The 25456-nt window shown below is 40.4% G+C and overlaps 1 protein-coding gene across 25 annotated transcripts in view, besides 1 other annotated feature; it reads right to left on the reverse strand.

Moving 5' to 3' along the window:
* The window catches only part of ST18 (ST18 C2H2C-type zinc finger transcription factor), a 299042-nt gene that overhangs the window by 208856 nt on the left and 64730 nt on the right, over positions 1-25456 (reverse strand). The gene's annotated exons all lie outside the window — the stretch shown is intronic.
* Positions 13609-13658: an enhancer, noted in NCBI's record as "active region_27345". NCBI's record gives its function as "activates an Ori minimal core promoter by ATAC-STARR-seq in GM12878 lymphoblastoid cells {active_cell/tissue: GM12878}" and the evidence as "EXISTENCE:reporter gene assay evidence [ECO:0000049][PMID:35858748]".

Genomic DNA, 25456 nt, shown 5'->3' on the forward strand with positions numbered 1-25456 from the left:
GGCTCAGCTGGGTGATTCTCGGTTGAGGTTGCTTGTTTGCTTCTGGTCAGATGTGAACTGGGGCAACCTCATCTGAAGGTTCAATCAGGCTGGACTTGCATGCCTGGCAATCCTCTGAAGATCTTAGGAGAGTGCCTGCATGTGCCTTCTCCAACATGGTGGTCTCAGAATAGGCAGACTTCTTCCATGGCAACTGGCCTCCCCAAACAGTGAGTATTCCAAGACGAACGGGTGGAAGCTGGACAGCCTTTTCTGACCAGGTCTTGAAAGTCACATCACATCACTACAGCCATACTTTACTGGTTGAAACAAAGACAAGCAATCCCAGATTCAAGAGGAGGAGACAGAAACTCTCTACCTCTCAATGAGAGGAATGTCAAGAAAATTTGGGCCTATATTTTAAAATCTGTCTCTATATATATGTAGTATGTAAACATTTTCCTTAAAGATACAGTGTTAAGTAAAAGTAGAAAGTACAGAAACATTTGTGTGGTTTGCTATAATTTATGTAAACAAGAAAGAATTACATATATGTATATATGTGTGTATATATTTTTGTATGCCAAGGAATGTTTTAGGGAGGATATTCAATAAACTGATCTTCTAGGTAGCCTCTGTGGAGGAAACCCACAGGGCTGGAGGGCAGACATGGAAAGGAGGCTGTGTAAATGTTCCTACTATTGATTTTTTTTTTACCACAAATAAATAAAATTGAATTTAAAAATAGAAACTTAAGCTGCATATTGGGAGAAGATCCATGTAAAACATGTAATTCACAAGGAATTCTTTTTCAGTATTTATAAAGAATTCATGTAAATTAATAAACACACACATACAACCTAATTTTGAAAAGGGTGAGACAAGTCTATTCACAGTCAACTTACTGGGACACCCAAATCCTGAAAACAAAAATTCTCAATTTCACTAATAATCAGGGAAGTGCTAACTGAAACTACCGTGAGATACTATCAGATCGGCAAACATTAAAAAGTATCACAATACCCAATCTGGTGAGGATGCAGAACAAAGCAGCTCAGGCACTGCTGAAAATTAAGACAACATTGAAACAATTTGGTAACACCTAGAAAAGTTAAAGATGCATCTGCCTTATGACCCAACCATTCACCCACAGGAGACGCAGCCTAGAGAAACTTTAGACTGTGTATGAGGATATCCACAAGGATGCTCACGCTGCATTGTTCATGTCAGTGGAAATTAAGAAATGCTCATCAATAGGGATATAATAGGGTAGATTCATACCATGAAATGTAGTTAAAATATTTGGCTAACTTACCTTTGACATCATGTTTTAAAATGTTTACATTCAGTAAACATAATATGGAGTGAAGAAATAACTGTCAAGTTGCAGAATGATCCTTTTAGCGTGTCACCAAAGTCACAGATTTTCAGTCACACAAAAGCAGGGCCGTGTATTGTTTATGCCTATATGCATGTGTGCAGAAAATATAAACACCTGGACGGGAAGAGACACTCCAATCTCAGGGTGAGGCTACCTTTTGGAGGGGACAAGGGGGCGTGGCCAGGGAGGAGCACAGAGGAAGCTGGGCCTAGGATGACCATTCAATTTCTTAAGGAAATAAGATCTAAAGAAATTTGGCAACATGATAATACTTCTTATATCTGGGTAGTGCTATTAACTGTTAGCTCTAGTGTCATCTACACTTCTCTATCAATGTGAAATACTTTGACAATGACCAGGAAGCATTTTTGAAGGATCTATTTTCTAAAGGATCAATTTTAATCAATCACTATTTAAATAATAATCAAGACAATGGCCACCAAGTGCAAACAACTGACACAATGTTTTTGTTATTTTGTTTATTTTGTTGCTTTTGGCTGATGTGGATGGAAATTAGCTGCAAACAGCTGTGAAAGGAGAACAGCCCGTTGCCTCCTGGTAAGCACTGAGCTTATATTCATATTCCTAGTATCACAGAGTGATGCTAATACAATCACCAACTAGGTCATTTATGAATTTCACAATGCCTGTCAAAAACAGTGGCAAACAAATAAAGTTTTTAAGTAATTAAGTCAGAAAAGGATTTAATGTATTTTAAGTATGTTTTTTAAAATTCCTTGCAGAGATCTATACAGTGAAAGTAGGTCCTCATCCTGATGCCTTGCCACTCAAAAGATGTCATTAGAATTACCATTAAATACAGCCTAGAGGTGCTTTGTTTCTAAGTCTTTACCCACTAAACAGAACATCTCTATCACCTCCTAAATAATTAGAGCAAAGCCATATTTTTAAGTTATTAAACTAGACCATTGCTTTTGTTCCCAGCATCCTGCCTTCCCTCCCATCCATATGGTGACTGTGGGAGCAACCATTCTGTACAATACAATGCTGCCTTCTTGGCACTGTTGATTGAAATGGAAGTGGGCTTCTAACAAGTTGGGTCAGTTAGGGTTCTTTGAAATTTTTGGAAAAATATTCTGTAATGAGAGAAAAGCATGAAGCTGGTATGGAAGGCAAGGAGGAGGGAGAGGAGTCTTGGCAACCCATGAGTTCCTTTCTTCAGTTTTTCCTACAATTCTCATTTTTACCACAGGCTGGCTGTCTTGTGAGATAGTCAAATACTTTCCTAGTAGATCTCTCCTTCCCTTTATCTACTTAAGCTAGTTCAGATTGAATTTCTGAACTTGCAACAAAGGGCAGTTTTCATGAATACTATTACTGGCTGTTGTTTATCATATGTACAGTGAATAAAAATAAAATTATAGAAATTGTGACAATGATATCTGACCGACTTGTTTACATCAGAACAACTCTAATCAAATAACTACTTGAATTATATAATACAGAATAAGTTATACATAATGTGGTTATTTCCTGACACACTCTTTTCAATAAAATATCACTCAACCCTTTGTCTCATCTCTAAGGATGAATTATTTGTCCTGCTGGTCCAGAGAGACAGAGCTCAGTGTGATCATGAAGCTGTGTCTTGCTCCTTCACGTGAAGGCATTTCTTTCCAGTAGAGTAGATAAAATAAAGCACTAATTGTTTCAACATCCAAAGAATACAGAACTTCCCTTATCATCTGACTCATTTTGGTTAAAAACTAAACAATATCCAAAGTGAAGTCATAATCCCAGGCAAAGAAAATACCACACTCAAGAGTTCACTTTAAAAGAATCTGATAGCTATCATTGATGATTGGGTGTGTTATTGAACACTTTGAAAATATTGCATCCACTATCACCACCAAAGGAATCAGCAACTTGCTATCCCTCCTCCATCTAGTGATAGCTCTTCACTGAGCACTGATTTCTCACTGGGCATGGCCTCAGAGCTCCAGAGCAGTAGGAGTCAGACAGGTTTCCTTGGACCTAGCTCCTCGGAGGAGTCCTGGGCCAAGAAATCAGGATTCATTCTACATAATGGCTATGTTCAGGAACTCTGTGCATGGAGGGAAAGAGCTGGGCTCTAGACACCAAAGCAACATGTCTAGAATTATGAATTTTTTAAAAATCACATAAAACCAGGAGAGGCCAAGAGGCTAGAGCTCTTGACTCCCACCCGTGATTTAACCACAGATGTTCCATTTGATCTGTTTTTATTTGAGGTTCAGTGAAAGATTTAATTTGAAATACATGTGACACCATCAAAATATGTTTAACAGCCACCATATAGGGACTTTAAGGAATTAAGAAGCACTACATCCTCCTTGAAAGAGGCAGCTAACATTGTCACAAAGGAGAAAGATCTGTCTAGCATTTCTGGTTTATTGTGGTGTCCAGCGTGCTGGGATGTAAACCTCAAATACCTCTCTTCTTAAAGCTTCCCTTCTCCTGCTGGGCTACAGCAGTCCTGTTTTTCCTGCTGGAGATGGTGTTTAGTGCCACAGTGAGAACTAGAGAGGAATGAGTAACTCTGCAGTCAAGCTCAGGTACCAACAGGGTCTCTTTTGAGTATTTCCGACTTGGTCTTGTTTAAATTTAAATCCAAAACCCTCTGCCTCCCATCAGTCTCTGAGCTTCTAGATTAATCCATAGCTCAGAGACTCTGGGCGAGGGGGAGGCTGGGTGGGGTGGCAGTGTATGGTTTGCTCCCACACCACTCCACTTCCGGCCTGTCTTCAGTGCTCGCTCTTCTCACTTTTCCAAACAGAGAATAGCACAGAGTTGGGCAAGTATGACCTTTGGAATGGGAAAGATCCAAGGCACTCTTTGTTCCCCTAACTGCAGCCAGTTGTCTAAGGTTTTGGTAACCTGAAGAGCAGCCCCAACATGTCAGGGGACTCATGCCCCTTACCACTGGGGCACATGTCCAACCATGACAGGGAACTTCATCTGCCCTCCAGGCTTCACAGCTTGAAGCTCAACCCTTGTTCCTTGGCTATGGCGAGAGAATGTTCCCCAGACTCTGTCACAGACAATGGGTCCCTGGAGAGTTGGGAGTAAGGATGGTGGTGGTTGGTGTTTGGGTCCCTTCTGAGCTGGTTCCTCTCATGAAGCTCTGGGGAGAGGTGGCATGAGGCCCTTTTGGATCTTTAGGGCCACTGGGCCTCAGGTTTGTTACTGTCCTTAATTGCAAGACAATAAGAAAAGTCTCACTAGCAGTCAATTACAGGTTGATAGATGATGGATGGATGGATGGATGGATGGATGGATGGATGGATGGATAAATGGATGAATAGACATATAGAGAGAATGACCAGATAGAGGTCTCAAGTGTGTAGCATGGGTCATAAGAGTTCTGGGGACTAAAGGAATGCTATGGACAGGTAAGGTTTCACAGAGGAGGGGCCTAGAAAGGTACTTTGAAGGATGGACTATAGCAAAAAGACAAGGCTCTCCAGGTGGAAGGAACCATGTAGGCAGATGCACGGCAATGGGAACTAGTGATGAGCACTGACTGCAGGAGCTATGATTGTACCATTTCTGAGTGCTTACTCTATGCCGGGTAGCATACTATGTGCTTTACAGAAAACCATTTCAATTACTCTTTGCAGCAACTTTATAAGGTACATATTATCAATGTCCTTTAAGAGAGGAAAAAATAATTAACATTTTTAGTGATTATACTGGGCATAGAAAAATGACCTGATATTCATTACCTCATTTAATCTGTGTCAGAGTGAAGTTCTATTTTTATGGCAGTGACTATAGCAATTATATAGCTTGTTCTAAATAATAAAATCAATATGTGACAAAGCTGGACTTAATGCCCGGACATGTTGATCCAAACAGCCAATCAAGACCTCCTGTGAAACCCCGCTGGGAAATAAGTTTGGAAAAATAAGTTGGACATTTGAAAAATGTTTTAGTACTAGTCTATAAGGATGGAGGAATTAATTTTTCAGCAATGAAGGACCAATAGAGGTTTTAAAGATAATAGCTGCAAAATCAAACATCACCTTGTGAAAATTAACCAATTTGCAATGTTCTGAGCAAATTATGAGTCAAAGAAACAGGGAGAGAGGGAGGGAAACAAGGAGAAGGTAATCACAATGGTGGAGCTGCTGATGAGGGAGTGAATATACTGTAGAGAGGGGGGAAAAGAAAAACATGAAAAGGAAATCATTGAAATGCTTAACGACTAATTTGATGTAGCTCCAAGTCTGGGTACCTGAGAAAATGATAGCCCCATTTATACAAATAGGTAAGACCCGAAGAGATCATTTGAAAAGGAATTAGTTTATTATTCTCTACTAAGAAATCTGTAAATGCCTGAATCCATATTGCTTACAACAGAACAGAAATTCATATGTTTCTACTGGAGGTAATCTAAGAATGGTCAATTTCTGGTATTACCATATCTAAGAATGACATATTCCCTATAATCATTATGCATCCTGAAAGCTTAATTAGAACAAGGTATCTATGTATTGTTATAATTATTATTACACCATACTAATGAATTAATAACAATGTAATTTTAAAAAAATGGTAAAACGAAAACAGAATAATTCCTCTATGTTTTATACTTAGAGTGACTTTTCTGATCTTCAGTATCTTAAAATTCAAATATAAAATTCTATGTTTTTAAAATTTCCCGATTTCCAGCTAGGAATTTTTGCCCAGACTCTTTCCAAACCAGACTCTGTGCTACTCTTTTTCTGTTATTACCCATCCTCACTTAGGAGGATCTAAAGAAAAAAGATCACATAAGCCACTCAACTTTATAAATAAATGTGGACAACCGGGAGCTAGCCATATGGTACCCATTTGTTGGAAGTCCCAACAAACTGTTCATTTCTCCCAAGTGTTCCTTTTCAATATATTAGGATATCAGCTGTAAGCTGCTTCTGAGATGCTGTAGAGAATACCTAGTCATTGTGTCATAAAACCTTTGGTTGAGTCCTAGCCTGACTTCAGACCCACATCCATAGTTAACTACAAGTTATAGGTAGAAAAATACAAAGCATAGAGAAAAATTTGAAAAGCCTTGTGCCTCCAAACACAAGACACATTCTCAGCTGCTTATATTTCTAACAGTGGAGTATAAATTCAAAAAAATGAGGCTAAAATTTGATTGGCAAGTCTCGATCTTACCATGGAGTCTCATTTCCACAATGGTGACAGTGGGATTTGGCCTGCAGCAGTGGGGAAGGGGAGGACAGAGGGAGTTCACAAGAACTGGGAATGAGAGAATTTACCATAGACAGAGGCACAGGATGCTAAAAACAAGACTTTTCTGGCAACTTTAGGCGCCACCATGTAGGAAATGTTTATTGGTGTGACCTTTGGTTTAGTATGTGAAGGTTTACATGATTGGGGAGAACCACAGGACTCAGATTTGCAGAAATGAAAGATGCATAGTAATGAAGCTTGTTCTATATTAAAATGGCCACAAGTGAGCTATATATTTAGGCAGGTGAGGCTATAGGCATATTATAAATCCACAACAGAAGGCAAAGTCAATGGTGCCTCCTGTATCACCATAACAATGCATAAAATGTATATTTCAAAGCTAGAAAGTGATAATCATGGAAAATTTATAGGAGGGATATCTGAAAGGCAGCTGAAAGGCCCAGAAGCCATAGGGAGTGCATGATTTCATAAATACTGAAAAAGAATTATTGCAGGTCTCCTACCAAGCCCATTATATGTGTCAGAACTCTGGAAATTTGAGGACAGTGATTTAACGCCTGAGATGGTGACTGCCAAGAATGAATATGTCACAGCTTCTCACAGGAGTGAGGAAACCACCACAGGGCTGGCAGCAGCCAATTGACAGCCTGCAAAGAGTCCACTAGCCCAGGCCAACTCCAAGCAGTGTTTCTGGGGAGCCAGAGAGGCAGTGTTCAAGGGAGACTGCCCACTCTCTCAAAGTGCCACCGGAGAGGGAGCCCCACAGCCTTCATTTAAGCTTGGTTTTGTTGTTACTTGGTCCACAGTTGCTTGCAACCTCCTGTAGCCAAATCACTCACAACCAATAAAGGATGTAAAAGCAAAAGTGATAATTCTTCTATGCTGTCTGCAAATATCAGAGCAATTACCTACTGGTCATGTACTCATAAGGATCTCCAGAACGTTTTCCAGATATAGTCATCTCTTGGAATCTGCATTCTCCCATACCAATGGGATGTCTCTTTTGGTAGAAGTGAAGTTAGATGCAGTAAGGTATTTTTCTCAGTTCTTCTTATTTATTGGATGGATTCATGTGGCAAGACTGGTCAGCCCTGCTCTTTCTTGAATTCTGTCCAGCCATCTCAACTCACCAAGAGAGAGTCTGTATAGAACCCACTGCATCTTATTCTGACTACCTGTGATGAAGGACATAGTTGAAAATATACCAAGGAGATTTGTTAAAAGGGTACCATTGTCCTGTGATCTAGAGTAGCAACTTGAATTTCCAACATCTCTGGTTACTCTGATATTCTCAGCAACTTGCTCATTCTGTGGTAGAGCACCACTGTTTTATGTTTTTCAGGCATTTTTTCTCCATATTGTTTTAGACACGGTGCCATTATAATCACTTGCAATTGACCAGTAATTGTTGCAGAAGCAGGGCTCCCTCTGCCAGTGCCACCCAGTTGCTGGACTACACCCAGCTGAGTGCAGTAAGTTCCAGAATCCAATCAAAGCTAAACCCCATCAGTATCCAGGTTTCTCATTATGAAGTTGAGCCAACACTTGCTTCAATGCAATACCTCCCTCTTACAGGGCACACACAAAGCCACTCCATTTTAGCTGTAATTCAGGCTCCTGAAATGCTTCCACAGGAAAACTCAATAGGAGACTCAGCTATGATCATTAATTCATGTTCAGAGATTTTATTCTTGCAATTGTCTTTATAGCTGAGATGGCTACCTGTGCTGATATCCCATCTGGAAAATGGGAGGAGGAATGTTTTCTTTCAGGAACATGAGAATAATCTTAACTCAAGAAACAAAGCCTAAAGTGCATCCTATAGCCTTAGCAGAGTGAGAGAATAGCCCCAGGAAAGAGAGCTATCTCTGAGTATTCATCCTAGTTTTGGTTTGTGATTAAGTTTGAATCACACAAGGGAAGTGCAAATCCTGTACTAATTAAGCCTCAATAGTTTTCCTGCCTCCTAAGCTATTCAATCACGAGCAGCCTAGAGTAATAGGACCAGAATGAGAACTTATTAACAGGGTGGTCTTGGCCATAACTTGCTATATGTAAAATGACATTAGTAGGATGAAGAGACCTTATCATATGGCCACGAGGCTTAGACACAGTAGTGGCTCAACACAGGTTTGCTCTCTGATATACCTTTCTACTCCATCTGTGAATAATGATGGTGATAATAATAATAACTAGCATTTATTGACTGTTATTGAGAAATGAAAACATGGATGTGAACCATGATTCACATCCACAATTTAGCACATGGTGTTCACACTTCCAGGATTTACAAAACTCTTAAAGACATTTTAATGACAACATAAGCTCCCTCCATCACCCAGGTCTGATTAAGCAGCACTTCACATTATGTGCTCACTAGCACTGAGATCTCCAGCCTACCATATACAGCATTATCCTAGGCATGTAGGACTTCATATATTTGTAAAAATGATAATAATTTAGAAAATTATCATAAAGATGCAAGCTTTTGAGAGATAATTTACAGTTTAATTTTTCCAATAAAAAAAATACCAGCATTTTTTGGTAAGTGGACTGCATGTGGATGAAAGTGTGCCAGGCCCACTGCTGATAAACGGGAAGTTTCTGTCTGCTGGGGGAGGGATGTACCACATCTATTGGGGGTGCTGGCTCTCCCCCAGCCCTCAAATAATTCACATTAAAACTTGGTAATGTGACTGATTCATAAAACGCAACTTTCCCCAGCCATATTTCCTTGGTTCTCTAACATCACCTTTTGTGCCCTGAGGATTCATTTATTTCAGTTCATTTTAAAATTTGGTATTAATTCTGCTTTCTCTCACCCAGCATATTCCAATGACTAAAAAACAGGAGAATCTTTTTAGAGGAATGCTGTGTGTGTCTATTTGTGTGTGTTTGTGTTTGTGTTTCTGCATCTGTTTTTCTATGTGTGTTTCTGGGTGTGTATTCCTATGCATGTATTTATGTGTGTGTGTGTGTGTGTGTGTGTGTTTCTGTGTGTGTGTGTCTCCATCTGTGGAGAAATGGTAAAAAAAAAAAAAAAGGCTGGCACTGCCCTTTGAGTTACAGGTGTTGGAAGATTTCTTACTTCCTGTGAGTGCAGGCTTCATGGAGACAGCCTCCAGCAGATCCCAAAGAGCATGTTCATGACAGCTCAGGATCCTCTCTGAACACGTTCCTTGTTTGTGAAATCCTGAAGTCTCTAAAGAAACCAGGAGGCCAGGCATGGTGGCTCATGCTTGTAATCCTAGCACTTTGGGAGACCGAGGCAGGTGGATCAACTGAAGTCAGGAGTTCAAGACCAACATGGCCAACATGGCAAAACCCAGTCTCTACTAAAAATACAAAAATTATCCAGGCATTGTGGTGGGTGCCTGTAATCCTAGCTACTCAGGAGGCTGAGGCAGAAGAATTGCTTGAACCCAGGAGGCAGAGGTTGCAGTGAGCCAAGATTGCACCACTGCATCTGCACTCCAGCCTGGGCCACAGAGCGAGGCTCTGTCTAAAAAAAAAGAAAGAAACAAAAAAAGAAAAGAAAGAAACCAGGGAAGGTTGAACCCAAACCCAATTTCTATTAGTGCTTCTCCAGAAGGTTAAAAAGGTTGCAAAATATCACTACCTCCCCTTCTCTGTATCCAAAAGGATCAGCCATCTGTTTTCGTAGCTAATAGTGGGTTGGCTAGTGAATGTTTCTGTTGTGCTATGGAGTGCCACGGTGGGCTCCAAGGGCCCTTTGTCTTGCATGTTTACATGTTTTATAAATGACTGAGTGTGCTAGAGCCCAGAATATCTCAGGACTCTTATTGAACCATGGGCAAAAAACATTAAAAATGATCTTAAGATATTCATTTGCCCTAGGATGCAGAAGGAATTTTACACCGTTTTCTTTATGTGTCTAGTAGATTAATATTTCCTTTATGTTAATATGAAGTTTATTATTCTTATCTTCATTTAATGTCCTGAGGAACCAGGTGAGACAATTTTGCCAGTTTAATGATCACTGGCATAAAGTACACGAGAGGGTCACTCAGGACAGGCCATCCCTTTCGAGGCATTTTGCCAAAAGAGCCTGGCGTTAATTAATTAATACTAGGAAATCCCCTGCCAGTCCCAGCTTTGAGAGACAAAAAATAATAAGAGTCTTCTAGGCTGTAGGCCAATACACCTCTTTCATAAAAATTAAAAGCCTAACCAGAACTCCGATAGCAAATGTCCCTTTTCAAAGAGTAGCTAATCTAAAATTCATTATAGGAGATAAAGGAAAAATAAATGGTGGGCCCAGGAACCTTTTGGTAGAATATATGGCATCCAGGTCATTCTCTATCGTAAGTCAAGTTACTTTGATGGCTAGGTTGGAGTTTATGCTGATACAGTACAGCTTCCACGCATTATGACATCACATCCAACATGTGGAGATGACCGGCTCTGGGCATGCCCTGTGCTCACCTGGCAGGTGATGGCGTGGGCAGGAAGTGCACAGCCTGCCTTTACCTTACGTGAACACTGTGTCTGGGCAATGGGCTAAGAACTGAAGAGGACAAGCTAGAAACGGGCTCCTTGCTGCCTCTATAAACCACGTGTGTGTACATCTTAGCGAGCCCACAGACAAAAAAGGCAAAGAAGCAGAGACCAAGAAGGAGCGCCTAAGAGGCACAGAAAAAGAGAGCCACAGAGACAGAGAGATGGAGAGGCAGACAGACAGAGGAGAGCCAAGGCACAGGGGAAGGGGCAGGCAGAGGCAAGCACTTCCTGGTGAACTGGGTCCCCTGTGTGATTGGCTGCTCCTAGAGAACAGTTTCCCTGGCTGCAGTTGCTGTGCAACTGCTTCCTGCAATTAACTGACTTTATTGACTTTGTCTGTTTCTCCCCCTCCCTTAACCTCTTGTTTGCCAAGCCATCTAAGGAGCCACACCTTCGACTGGAAGGGGTAGTTTCAATTAGCACACTGTACATCTTGTCAACCCACCTCCACTTGAAGCTGTGATAATAGATGTAAACAAATATGTGTTCATATCCTTTATATATTTATTCACATATAATATGTTTATCTGTATTTATGAATAATATTTGTTATATAATATATACATATATTAATATATGCATATATCTATGCACACACATATATCTCCTAAATTATGTTAAGGTCCATGTGAATACAAAATTTATTTTTTAAGAGGTCATTTCCAGAGCATTGTATAGGCCTATGCACACATACACAAGTAACCAAGACTTGACATACCCAGCCCGTCTCTGCAATGAGAAACGAAAAGGGAGAAAATGCAGGGAAGACACAGCTTTAGGTAGGACATTAACATCTGCATATGTAAAAACTAGCAAAATGGCTCAAAAATCATAGTCACAGAGTAAATGTAATGACTGAATGAATGAATAAGTGAACTATCACACATTGTTGTAATTACTGAAAACTTTTCTCTTTTTAAACTGGTCCTTCATGGGGGACACGTGTGCATATCAAAGTGCAAAGTCCCACTGGGAAACACCAGTTTGGGGATCATGATTTTATGTAGTGGATGAGCGGTTGGCTTAAGGTGTCATTTCAATTACCTATAATAATTGATAATTGGAGCCAAATCTTCCCATTTAGCAAGCACTCAGTAAATGCTTTGGGGTTTTGGAGGAGAGAATGAAGGACTCCTCTTCTCACATTCTGCCATCATCACAGAATTATTTAATAAAAGTCAAGCAATTTTGTCAAATAATTCTGTGTGAAAAAGTATATGTAAATATATATTTATTCAAGTGTGTATGTATATATACATATAAAACAAATATGTATGTGTGTATGTATATATACATTTATAAAACAAATATATAAAATAAATATAACCAAATGAGTTACATTTGCCATTATAAGTATAACCACTCATTGTTACCAGTTATATATTAAATATTATACTAAACAACCTAAACAGTAATTAAAATCAAATTACTATTTTGGATAAATAATATTTGTAATGGGGTAGAAATATATGATTGATGGATCTTAATTTTTGAGCATCATCCCACTTATGCTGTATTGATGCATGTTTTTCTTTTTTAACATTTCTAAGAACTATGATCACAACATTTTCTCTAAGAAATATCTTCAAGTGCCTAAACCTTGCTCAGTGTTTCTTTACACATTGAATTCAAGAGAAGAGAATTCTCTTACGATGGAAGCATATTCACTTGGACCTAGAATTCATTCATTCTTATTGCTATAGAAGGCATGTTAAAGATACTACTTCCACTTTCCCAAGAGCATCTAATGTAGCTTTTTTTTTTTTTTTTTTTTTTTTTTTTAACTAAAATGCAGGCCGGGCACGGTGGCTCAAGCCTGTAATCCCAGCACTTTGGGAGGCCAAGGTAGGGGGATCACGAGGTCAGGAATTCGAGACCAGCCTGACCAACATGGTGAAATCCTGTCTTTACTAAAAATACAAAAATTAGCCAGGCGTGGTGGCGCATGCCTGTAATCCCAGCTACTCAGGAGGCTGAGGCGGGAGAATCGCTTGAACCTGGGAGGCAGAGGTTGCAGTGAGCCGAGATTGTGCCACTGCATTCCAGCCTGGGCAACAGAGCAAGACTCTGTCAAAAAACAAACAAACAAAATATATATATATATGACCAATGGGTCCTGCCTATGCACAAGGCACATAGAACTAATCATTTCAACAACCCTGGAGGACCTAATTATTATCTCCATTTTGCAGCTGAGCATACTGGCTCTTGGGGAGGCTGAATCACTTGCCCCAAACATAGAACAACATAAACTGAGGTGGGATTCAGATACAAGTCTGTCAGACTCTAGAGCCCAAGTTCTCATCCATCAAGCTGATGTCCACCTTCTTGGGCCAGAGGAGAGACTCAACTTTGCTTTGAGCCATTGATGAGCTCAAATATGTAAAGTGAGATACATATTTGAGGTATTAAAGAGGAAATTCTTCAGCTAGGTTATCCTAAACGTTTCTCAAGGGAAAGTTTTCTGCAGTTTCTTCTATAACTAATCATTCTACTAAATAAGACCTGCATAGCATTTTCTATTAAAAAAAAAAAAAAGGTTAAATAGAAAAGACAAGCAGCTGAGAGAACACCACTGAGAATTCTTTAAAGAAAGCAACCAGCTCAGCAGGGGCACCTATATTTAGCCAATGAGTCAGACACATTTTCTTACCTAGCAAGCCAGTGGGCTGAACCAATAGGTTGTAGTTTCAGTTGAAAGGAAACAGAAAAAAATGTTGTGAAGAAGAAGAAAGAACTCTGAGAACAATAAGATTCTTGAAAGGAGCAAATGATAGAAAAAGGCAATGCCAAAGTAAAGTCAGGGAAAGAAAACTGGGGTGGGGGCGAAGCCAGGGAAGAGATAAAGGAAACCTGAAAATAAGAAAAATAAGTTCCAGAAAAGAAAAAGAGGAACATACTTTTCTAGTACTTTCTTTATATTTGATAAACTTTGAAATTGTGCCTACTTTCATTAAAAACTATTGTGTACAATATGTGAATCTTTCAGTCCCAGGAAAGTATGGCTCTCTTGCTACTGAAACTGGGCCACGCCAAATAGAATATCTCACTTGTACATGTATTGAGTATTAATAATTGCACAAGTTTATTGCTTTTATCAGAAGAAATAGACAAGTTTCTGCAAAGTCTCAGAAAAGCCAATGGGCTCCACTTCTGTGAAACAGAATTGTTCTGGGGGAGTGGGTCAGCCCTATCCCAGGAGAGACACCTGTCAGCTACAGGGCAGCACTCAGATATCGCAGGAGAGGCCCTTTGCTCTCTCAGACGAGGTGATAAAAATGCAGTTTGATGGCCCTGAGAACAGACACATGCTGTACATTTAAACCTTTGTTTTATATTCTCTGCCGGATATTTGATGCCACAGAATCCCTATTTAGTTGAAATAATTTGAATCTTTCTTCTACACTTTAGCCAACAATATTTAGCTTATCTCTATTTGCTGCTTTCATTCTCTAATTTAATAAAGACATAAATAAACAAATTTTCACTAAAAAATGTTACGTTTGGCAAATTCTGTTTCCTAATTCTCCCTTGATAGTATGGTTTGAAATGGGAAGGAAGAAAATTATTTCACCTGATTTACAATTGTTCTTACTAGTATGTGTTTTGGCTGAAAAGGAAAGCACCCACATGTGTAACTCACCTTTGAAATTTCCATAGAAAGATCACTCTTCCTTGTAGAAATCTGGATCATGCAATGATACCACTAGAAAATTTAAATGTATACAAGGATAACTAGACAGATACTGAACTTTTATTTAGTTTTCTTTTTGTGGTATACAGGACATTCTTGTAGGAAAATATCTGCCTCATTTTAAGGATCTGATAAATTATGTTTCCAAGGATTGAGGTTTAAGAGGGACTATGGGGCTTTTTCTGTCTCTCTGCCCAAAAATCAAGCTAAATGGTATGTCTTCCAAAGGGAACTGTGAAAAAAAAAATGTTTTCCTTAAAGCTACCTCTGTATTTTCTCTCCATTGGCTGTTATGGTTCCAAGGACTGGATCGAACCAGCTCACCTGCTCCACGTTGCTCATTTCTCTCAGCAAATCCAAGGACTCAGAAGGAACCCTTCACCAACTGCCCATTCCCGCATGCCGACCTGCAGAGCTAACTCCAAGCTTGCTCCACCCACCTTCTGTCACCACCGTCCCTTTTCTTGTCTCAAAAGTCATCATGAAAATGCAAATGTTGCCACAATTTGTTGAAAAAATAACAAAATTATAGTATGTGAAAGAGTATCTTGAAAATTGAATTGGAAATTTCTCTGATTTTTGCCTTAACACTGTAGAATTTTATTTCTAGAATTTTACCTTATTTTCTTATTTTTTTCCCACCAGGCAATAGAGAAATCAGCTATCTTATGACTTCAGACATCTCTTGATTTTCTAAAATGAACCCTAAACTTAATACATCCAAAATGGAATGCAAGCTCTCTACCTGAAACAAAGTAAAATTTTAAATAAGTAAATATTCTTTTCCAAGGTTCTAGGTTCCTGAGAATAGCATAACCACCCCAAGATCCAGGAATCTTCCTTGACATCTCCCTCCCTCTCGCCTGCCTCAGGGATCCACCACCAATCCTCTCTGTTCCACCTCCTCCCAAACCCAAGGGAATACAGGTGAATTATTCCTTATCCAAAATGGTTGGGACCAGAAAAGTTTCAAATTTCAGATACTTTAGTATTTTGGAATATTTTGCATATACATAATAAGATATCTTGGGGATAAGACACAAATCAAAGCACGGATTTCATATATGTTTCATATATGCTTTATTCACATAGCCTGAAGGTGATCTTACACAATATTTCTGGTAATTTTGCACATGAATTAAAGTTTGTATTAAGTACTTATGTTTGAAGTTTTCTACCTGTGGTGTCATGTCAGCACTCAAAAAGTTTTGGATTTTGGAGGATTTCAGATTTCAGATTTTTGCATTAGGGATGCTCAACCTATACCACCTCTTGCTTTGGAACCTTGGAACCTTGGGACCTTGGAATATCCTCCTGATTGGATATCCTCTCTGTTCCCTCCTTTAATTCATTCTCCATACTGCAGCCAACAAGGTGTCCTCCGTAAGCACCTCCCTTCACCCTCCAATTACACACTTCAGAGGCCTCCCGGTGCTGTTAGAATAGAAGCAATAATCTCCACATGGCCTACAAGTTCAGCCTCTGTGGCCCCCATCTGTCTCCCCTCTTGTCCCATTATCTCCCCTTCCCTGCAGCCCATCTTGTCTATTCTTCCCAGAGAATACTCCTTCAAGCCCTCTTCACCTAGTTAACTCCTATCTCAGGAGGCACTAGTAAACAGAAATGCAGTGGATGGGATTCTTCATCAATGTCCCCACTGCTTCTTGGATTATTATTATTATTAATTATTATTTTTGAGACAGAGTCTCCCTCTGTTGCCCAGGCTGGAGGGCAATGCCACAATCTCGGCTCACTGCAACCTCTGCCTTCCGGGTTCAAGCGATTCTCCTGCCTCAAGCCTCCCAGGTAGGTGGAATTACAGGTGCGCACCACCACACTCAGCTAATTTTTTCTATTTGCAGTAGAGATGGGGTTTCACTATGTTGACCAGGCTGGTCTCAAACTCCTGGCATCAAGTGATCTGCCCACCTTGGCCTCTCAAAGTGCTGGGATTACAGGTGTGAGCCACCACACCAGCCTGCTTCTTGGATTATTTAGGTGAAAATACAAGAAAATTCACAGAGCCATCTCAGGAGCCAGGTCTACATTTTCTGCTCTCCCATAGTCGGGAAGAAAGGAAAGATGAGCATAGCTAGCTGGATAAAAGCAATGGCACCAGTATTAACTGGAGAAGGAGGAACTCGGGAAGAGCCTTCCCATAGGTTTCCTCTATTCCCAAGTGAGGTTGGGTGAGATGGGAAGCGGGTAGACCTAGTGACGTCTTGCTTCCTAGCTTGTCAGTGATACATGCATATTTATTAAGACAGAAAATATACAAACACTGGAATTGGGCAAGGAGCCATGCTTGTGTCTGTTAATGAAATATAATCAATTAATTTTTTTAAAAAAGACCACACTTTCTGACACTCCAGCGTGGTGTACGCAGGTGGGGGTTGTAAGCCCTGAGGCTCAGAGTGACCCCTACCATGCCCCTTCTGTAGTTTCTGTCACAATCCTTAGTCATTCATAAAATATTTTTTCTATGCTTAAAATAATAGGAAAACCATCTACCTTCATTGTGTATGATTTTGACAAAAAGTAATGCAACCAGTTTCTAACAATCAACTAGTGCTTTCAGAATAACATCGCCTTTTTAAGTGCCCACTCCATTGAAATATGCAGAAAACATTTTCAGAAATTTCTTTATTCCAGATCTTTCATAGACCAAGTAAAGATGTTTGTTTTTTCAAAAGGTTGCTTAATGATCATTCTTTTTGACATTACACGATGGAAAGTCAACAATGTGACATTTGCCATAAGAAAAACAGAAAGATGGGGCTGAGAAATACAATAACAAGAGCTGCCACTGCAACCGCCAGGAAGTCTGGGATGATTTTTCGGTGCAATTTGTTTCTCTTCGTCTGGCAAAGGTTTTGGCTTCAGTTTCATGTTCTTTGATTATTATTATGCCTGTCTACTAGTGAGTGGAAACTGCAAGTACTCTCTCTATCTTTCCACCCTGGACGAGTGAAAAGAAGAAATGAGCCAAAGTCACTCTGAATGGGGTTTAAAAGAAAACTATTCCACTATTGGCTCGAAGGACTCAGACTGGTGATGTATCTATATAGCTCCATTCACTGATGGTTCAATTACTTAGTCTCTCCCATGTGTGTCAGGGAAATACCTCAGATGAGCAGTGTGAAGGTGTGGGGCTAAACCCAGAAAGATATATCACATGCTGTCTTGTAACTAATTTATTCGGGCTAAGCCATCAACTGCCTTTATTGCTGATAGAGTTGGCGTTTCTCAGGGATACCAAAGCTTCTCTATCTACATCAAAGCCCTCAGTAAGCTGCATTGCAGGGCACCTCAGCCTCAGATGCAGTGGGTGTACAAAACCTTTCTTCACTCGCCAGTGGTCATGAAGAATGGCTGTGTGAATAATTGTAACTAGCTACAGCCTAAGAGGTTTTCCTTCTGTTTCCCAAGTTTTAAGTTCAAACTGACCTACAACTATAGCCCATACCCTTTATATTTGGTGACAATATCTACCAGTTTAAGAATGTCAGGATGAATTAGATGGCATCTTTATGTAGGGAATATGGCTACATCTATTTCAAGGACTTCCTTTTAAATTTTATTCATTTATTTATTTATTCATTTTTGAGACAGAGTGTCACTTTTGTTGCCCAGGCTGGAGTGCAATGGCATGTTCTCGGCTCACTGCAACCTCCAACTCCTGTGTACAAGCAATTATCCTGCCTCAGCCTCCTGAGTAGCTGGGATTACAGGCATGTGCCACCATGTCTGGCTAATTTTGTATATTTAGTAGAGATAGAGTTTCACCATGTTGGCCAGGCTGGTCTCAAACTCCTGACCTCAGATGATCCGCCCACCTCGGCCTCCCAAAGTACTGGGATTACAGGCATGAGCCACCGTGCCCGGCCAGACATCCTTTTTAATGGCATATCTTCTGGGGATTCCTAATACAAAATTAAAATCTATAATTTTGATATAAAATATTTTATGAATTATAGGAATTACAGTCATCCCTCAGTATCCAAGGTAGATTGGTACATCTCAGTTCACTGCAGCCTCGACCTCCTGGGCACAGGTGATCCTCCCACCTCAGCCTCCAGAGTAGCTGGGACCACAGGCACAGGCCACCACCCCTAGCTAATTTTTGTATTTTTAGTAGAGACAGGGTTTTGCCATGTTGCCCAGGCTGGTCTCAAACTCCTGGACTAAAGTGATTTGCCCGCCTTGGCCTCCCAAAATGCTGGGATTACAGGTGTGAGCCATCACACCTGGCCTCTTTTTTTTCTGTTTCTCTTTCTTTTTTTTTAAAGATAATGTCTTGCTCTGTCACCCAGGCTAGAGTGCAGTGCCCAATCACAGCCCACTACAGCCTCAACCTTCTGAGCTCAGTCAATCCTCCTACCTCAGTCTCCTGAATAGCTGAGACTACAGGCACAAGCTACCAAACCCAGCTATTTTTAAAATTTTTTTGTGCTGGGGGAGACAGGGTCTCAGTATGTTGCCCAGACTAATCTCAAACTTGGGCCTCAAGCGACCCTCCCACCTCAGCCTCCCAAGTAGCTCACAGTTCTTTAAGTCAGAAGTTCACTTGCAAAGTGGCTGGGTTCTCTGCTTAGGGTTTCATGAGTCCAAAATCAAGGCTTTGGCAGGATCTGAGGTCATCTGGGGCTGGAAACCTCTTCCAAGCCCATCCAGGCTGTGGCAGGGTTCACTCCTGTAGCTGTAGGACTGAGTCCCTGTTCTCTTGCTGGCTGGCACCAGGCTGCTCTGAGCCCCAAGAGGCCATTCTCAGTCCTTACTATGTGGACCCCCATCCTCAAAGTCAACTACAGAAAACTCTCTCACATCAAACTCCTCTCCCTCTGGGCTTCTCTGACGTGTTCCTTCCCAACCTCTAGACCCAGATCTCAAGGGCTCAGGACATTCGGTCAGGCCACTGGGGATAAACTCCCTTCCTAAACCGACTGTACCACACGACAAAACCTCACCATGGAGGTAAGCTCTGTCCTGCTCACAGTTCCAGATCCTGCAGGGCACGTACAGCAGGGTTCGCAGATCTTGGGGGCCACCTCAGAATCCTGCCTCCACACAAGTTTTGAATTTTAAGGAGCCCCCAGCTCCACAGACTTGCCTGATGGCTTCTGCCCTGTGTACAGTGGCAAAACACTGGGCTGAGGTCCGAGGTCTGAGGTCTAAAGACGGCTGAGCTCACTCCTTCCGCACCATCGCTTCACCCTCTGCTGGGCTTGGGGCCAGCCCAAGGCCACTCCTCGTGGCCACACAAAGGGTGCTCAGGGGCCACTGCTCTGAGCTGTCATCTCTCCTTTCCCATGTCACCCCTTTCCGAGTTCTATTTTAGTTATTTGGATGCTACTCATTTTTGTGGATCTTTTGACACCTTTAATTGCTCTTCTCTTCCCACGCCTATTAAGTTTTCTCACCCTTTGATATTGGCATTAGGAGCATTTTAAATAATTTGCCAAATAATGTTTTACCACTGCTGTTTTCCGTAAGTTACATTGCTTTGCCTTTAACCCTGGATTAATTTTGCTGTAAAGTGTTAAATAGCATGAAGTTGGGTTATGTTACACACAAGATTGTAGGGCTTCCTAGATTCAAAGTCTTATTTCTTCATATATATACTGACTAAAAGCAAAGGCAAGTTAATAATGCAAATTTGCTTCGAAGCTCAATGCCATCTTTTGGCACACAGCCAGGGTGTGGCTATTCAGCCAGACCCTGAGCCTCAACTCTAAGAAAGAGTTACAACATTATTCCAACACTGAAATTATTTCAAAGCCTTTATAAAGCTAAAGCACAGAACTATTCCCATCAATACCAGACCAACAATTCTTTAAGCCCTGGCACATTTCACTGGTGTACGTTTTATGTGCCCTGAAGCTTATATTTGTTCCTGACTCATATGAATAAACAGAGAACTACTCAGTCTTCCTTCTGCTCCTCCCCTACTGTGGGCCTGGATCCAGTGCAGGAAACTCAGAGACAAGACGTGGCTCTATGACCACACGGACAAAGTGCAGAAGAGCCACATTTTAATGTTTCAAAAAGTCTATCACGGGGTTTTCATCATGTGTCAGTGGCCTGTGATATCACCTGGGTATGATTTCATTTGTACCTCAGTGCAGAAAAGATAGATGATTCGCACTCATTCTCAAATAAAAAATAAAAATTTCTCCACTCACTTTGTTATCTGTCCCCTTGCCACTCACCCCACAGAACTGCTAGAAAACACGAGCTACTTTCCTTAAGACACACTCTAGTGCTGTCTACACAAGGAAAAGGAGTGCTGTTTGTTCTCCACCTACTTCCAAAGTTCAAATATACCTCCCTGTTGTCACCAAACTCGTCTTAATTGTGTAGTGAGAAACAAAAAACCGCGAAGTGCCTGCAGTGAACCTTAGCAACAATGAGAAGGGCTAGTTCCAAGAAACGTTTCACAAAAGAACTTAGAGTTTCTATGCCTCTTTCCTGAGTTTAAAATGGGCACAACTGAAAAGATTTCCTGGAGTTCTGGGGCCAAAAGTGTGAAAATACAGGAGTGAATGAGATTGGCAGTTACCCTAAATCATGCTAAATACTAGGAAAGTCTATTCTCTTCTAACTGCAACCCCCCTAATCAAACTGCACCCTGTAGTTCACATGAGAAAATGCAGCTTACCAGGCATCTTAGTTCACACAAAATAAATTGCCATCCACTCCCCTTAAAAAAGTTAAAGTTTTGTGTTTTGTTTTTGTTTTTGTTTTTGCTTTTCACTTTGGAGACCCCAAAATCAAACACGTGGAAAGGGATAAAACACAGGTCTTCCACCTGGCTTCCATCAGGATGATACGGTTGACTTTGAGTTGAAATACATGCAAATTAGGTTCAACTTCTTAAGACACTGAAGGAAAGAATCTAAAATGTCTAAAAATTTGCTAAGACTTGGAGACCTTTTCTGCACATCTATTTGTGTTGAGCAGAGTAACAGCTTCCTAAAGAAGTCCGCATCCTAATCCCTGGAAATGAAGACTGCGTTGCCTTGCATGGCAAAGGGCAATCAAGGCTGCTAATCAGCTGACCTTCAGATGAAGGGATTATCCTGGGGCATCCAGGAGGGCCCAAGGTCATCACAAGGGTCCTTCAACCAATGTTAGAATTTATATCATATTCCAACATATGTCCAGATTTTTAAATTATCCCCAAAAAGTCTGTGGTCAGAATTTTGCTATAAGTAAGAGTTGGTGTGTGTTCTCTGAGATTCACTTTGATAGAATAGTGAGATTTTCCTTGCACTTCCCACTCAATGCTGCAGCTCTGCATCCAAGATCCGTGGCTTTCAGAGCTGTACTGTCGGACACAGAGCAGCCTCTGCCCCTTAGGCTCCCAGCTCCCCACTGCCTGGCCCAGGGGAGGGGACAGCTGGTGTGGAGGATCCCCTCATGGGCTGCCAAAGAGCACCCACCTCCTTGTATTTAAGGAAAATAGAAATCTGCTGGAGGGATTGGGGAGATGCTGGTCAAAGGACACAAAATTTCAAGTAGACAGAAGGAATACATTCAAAAGATCTATTACACATCATAGTAACTGCAGTTAATAACAGTATACTGATTACTTTTTAGTGTTCCTAAGAGAGTAGCTTTTAAGTGTTCACACCACAAAACAAATGATAAATATGTGAGGTCATGCATATGCTAAATAGCTTGATTTAGCCCTTCCACAATGTATACACATATCAAAACATCATGTTTTACACCATAAATATGTACAATTTTTACTTGTCAATTTAAAAAATACGTTGTATTCAGAGCCAAAAAGAAACAAAAAGAAATCATATTCATGGGAGGAATCCAGAACAAAAATGAAGCCAAAAGAAAGAAAAAAGAAAAAGACTCTACGATCTTATATATGACTCCATATAACTCTCACCCCCAAATATTACAAGACCATCTAGGAGACCAACTGCTGTTGCTAAAGAGCAGTCCAGGTCTTTTGTTTATTCATTCAACAAACATTATGGTTTATGATGTTCCAGACCACGATGGAGATGAGAACATGAGTGTTAGTTTATTTTGTTGTAAAGTCTTTCATCAGATGTGACATTTCTAGAAACAACCTTATGCGCCTCAGCCAGCTGGGCAGCACATATCAAATTTCAGCGTGCACACAAACCTCCCAGGGGCCTGCAAGAAGCACTCTGATGCAGGAGATCTGGGGTGGTTCCTGAGACTCTGCATTTCTAATGGGCTGTGAAAAGACGTTGAAACTGCTGGTCCAGGGCCTGCAGTTTGAGTAGCAGGGCACTAGAACCCAGGACTCTGTTTCATCCACCTCAATTGACTGTTGCTCTCCTGAGAACATTTTATAAAATCCCGAGACAAGATATGTTTCCCCATCACCACTGCACAACTATATTACACAAGGCAATAATCTTTTTGGATGTTGACCTTTGTAAGTGTCATACAAAAGTGAATGGCAAAACGAAAGAACAAGGTATATTTTCATTTTTGTGTGAGGGAGAGACATATGGATGAGGGAGGTATCAATCTGGAAATACGTTGCCTACAGTCATCAAAATAGAATGACTCAAAATGTCAACAGCTCCAAAGCTCTTGAACTGACGAAGCAAGCAGGTGCAGCGTTTGTCAGCAGGATGAGGAAGAGGTGCCTATCATAAACAAGAGACTGGAGGGCTCAGAAAGAGCTTTCAAGGAAGTAAAGCTCTTTAGCCAGGGCAGAGGTGGGGGTGAGGAGGGCAAGTGAATGCCCTGCGTATGGAAATAAACCAGGCCGTTACTAACCCGCCAGACAATAAAGCTTCAGGAGAGTTGGGTTTTACTACCGTATTTCACAGAGCACCGTGCCTGAACTGCTCCCAGATGCGCAGTTCAAGTTCACGCTCCTCATCTCCCTTCCTACTTTATATGAGGTGATCATATCTTTTACTCACAGAGCTGGAAACGATGTCCTTGAATGTACCAACCATAGACGTTTCTGTCATTAAAGCTTGATTATAAAATCTCCCCTAAGAACAAACGGTGGGGACCGTGCTGGCTTTATAAAAGTTCCATTAGTCCTCCGAGCAAAGTCCCCGTGGCCAAAAACCAAATCCCTCACACGCAGTGGAGCCATCGCTGACCATAAAGGACAGAGCAGCTATGACCTTTCACACAGAGAGTCACTTGTAAGTGAATTAAAAGTATCACCACAGGATTAAAATGGTCGCTATGAATCAACAATTTCTGATACACAGATACCACTCAGCAAGCTAAGAAGCTAAGTAGAATAATGGGATTACCTTATTTAATTACAGATTTGCAAAACATTTCTTTTCAAACCCAGACAACACATCCCTAAAATACTTTTAAAGGTATTTTAAGTACTTATTTATATTTTCACTGGAAAGTATTAACATTTCCTGCTATTTTAAAGGAAATATTATACTCTATTGGGAAGGTATTCTCAGCTAACATAAACACACAGTGTGGCTATGCTAATAAAGTATTTTCAAGCAGCAAAAAATTACCATTTTATGCAGATGATAATGTAATGTTTAACCAATAAAATAATTCCCTCATTTATTATAATAGCTGTAATTATAATAGCTGTGTCATCATTAATAGCTATATAATAGCTGTACAGCTATTAATACTAAGGTACGAAATCAATTTAAATTTAGTCAGAACTTTTGTTATTATCAAAAAGTTATTAAGACTCCTTTTATGTAGAATTTTAATGTGCCCCCAAAGCATTCTAAGTAGTTCAGCCAATTAATAAAGAGCAAGATATTATAAAAGAAGCCTTATTTTTTCAAAACTAATACAATGTGTGTATTAGAGTCTTGCCATTTTTTAAGATGTAGAAAAATGTTAGAATAGTTTAAACAGGAGCATGGAAAGTGTCTTATGTCCCTGATGAAATGCAGTAAATCTGATTAAAGCCCCCTACAATAATAGCCTTTTTTTTTTTTGAAATGGAGTTTCACTGTTGTTGCCCAGGCTAGAGTGCAATGGCAGGATCTCGGCTCACTGCAACCTCCACCTCCCGGGTTCAAGCCATTCTCCTGCCTCAGCCTCCCAAGTAGCTGGGATTACGGGGGCCCACCACCTCGCTCCACTAATTTTTGTATTTTTAATAGAGACAGAGTTTCACCATGTTGGCCAGGCTGGTCACGAACCCCTGACCTCAGGTGATCCGCCTGCCTCAGCCTCCCAAAGTGTTGGGATTACAGGCATGAGCCACCGTGCCCAGCCAATAACTGCCATTTCTAATGAGGGAGGATCTTAATCAGTAACATATCAAAATAGATACATCACCTGAGATTATTAACATTTTGTAGTTAATATACACATTTAACTATAAAGTTTTAATAAATAATAATAAAGCTGATAACTTTGCAAGTTTTACCATGTGCCAATAACCATGTTTAGCACTTTATTTTATTATTTGATTGTAAGGTATGTATTATTGTTATTATTATTATCATTGTTATTCCCATTGTATAAAGAAGAAACCTGAGATGTTACAATATGGCAGTCACTGAATTTGAGCTTAAGTGACTTTGACTCCAAAGTTTATGTGCTTGGCTGATACGTTAGGCTTTCTCAATACATATAATTATAACATATTCTTTAATTTCCAAACAAACCAAAACTAGGAAAAATATCACTTTTCTTTTTCTTTTAAAAATGTTTCAAGTATT

This window comes from Homo sapiens, chromosome 8 (assembly GCF_000001405.40).
Source record: "Homo sapiens chromosome 8, GRCh38.p14 Primary Assembly".
In the NCBI taxonomy this organism is placed as follows: Eukaryota; Metazoa; Chordata; class Mammalia; order Primates; family Hominidae; genus Homo; species Homo sapiens.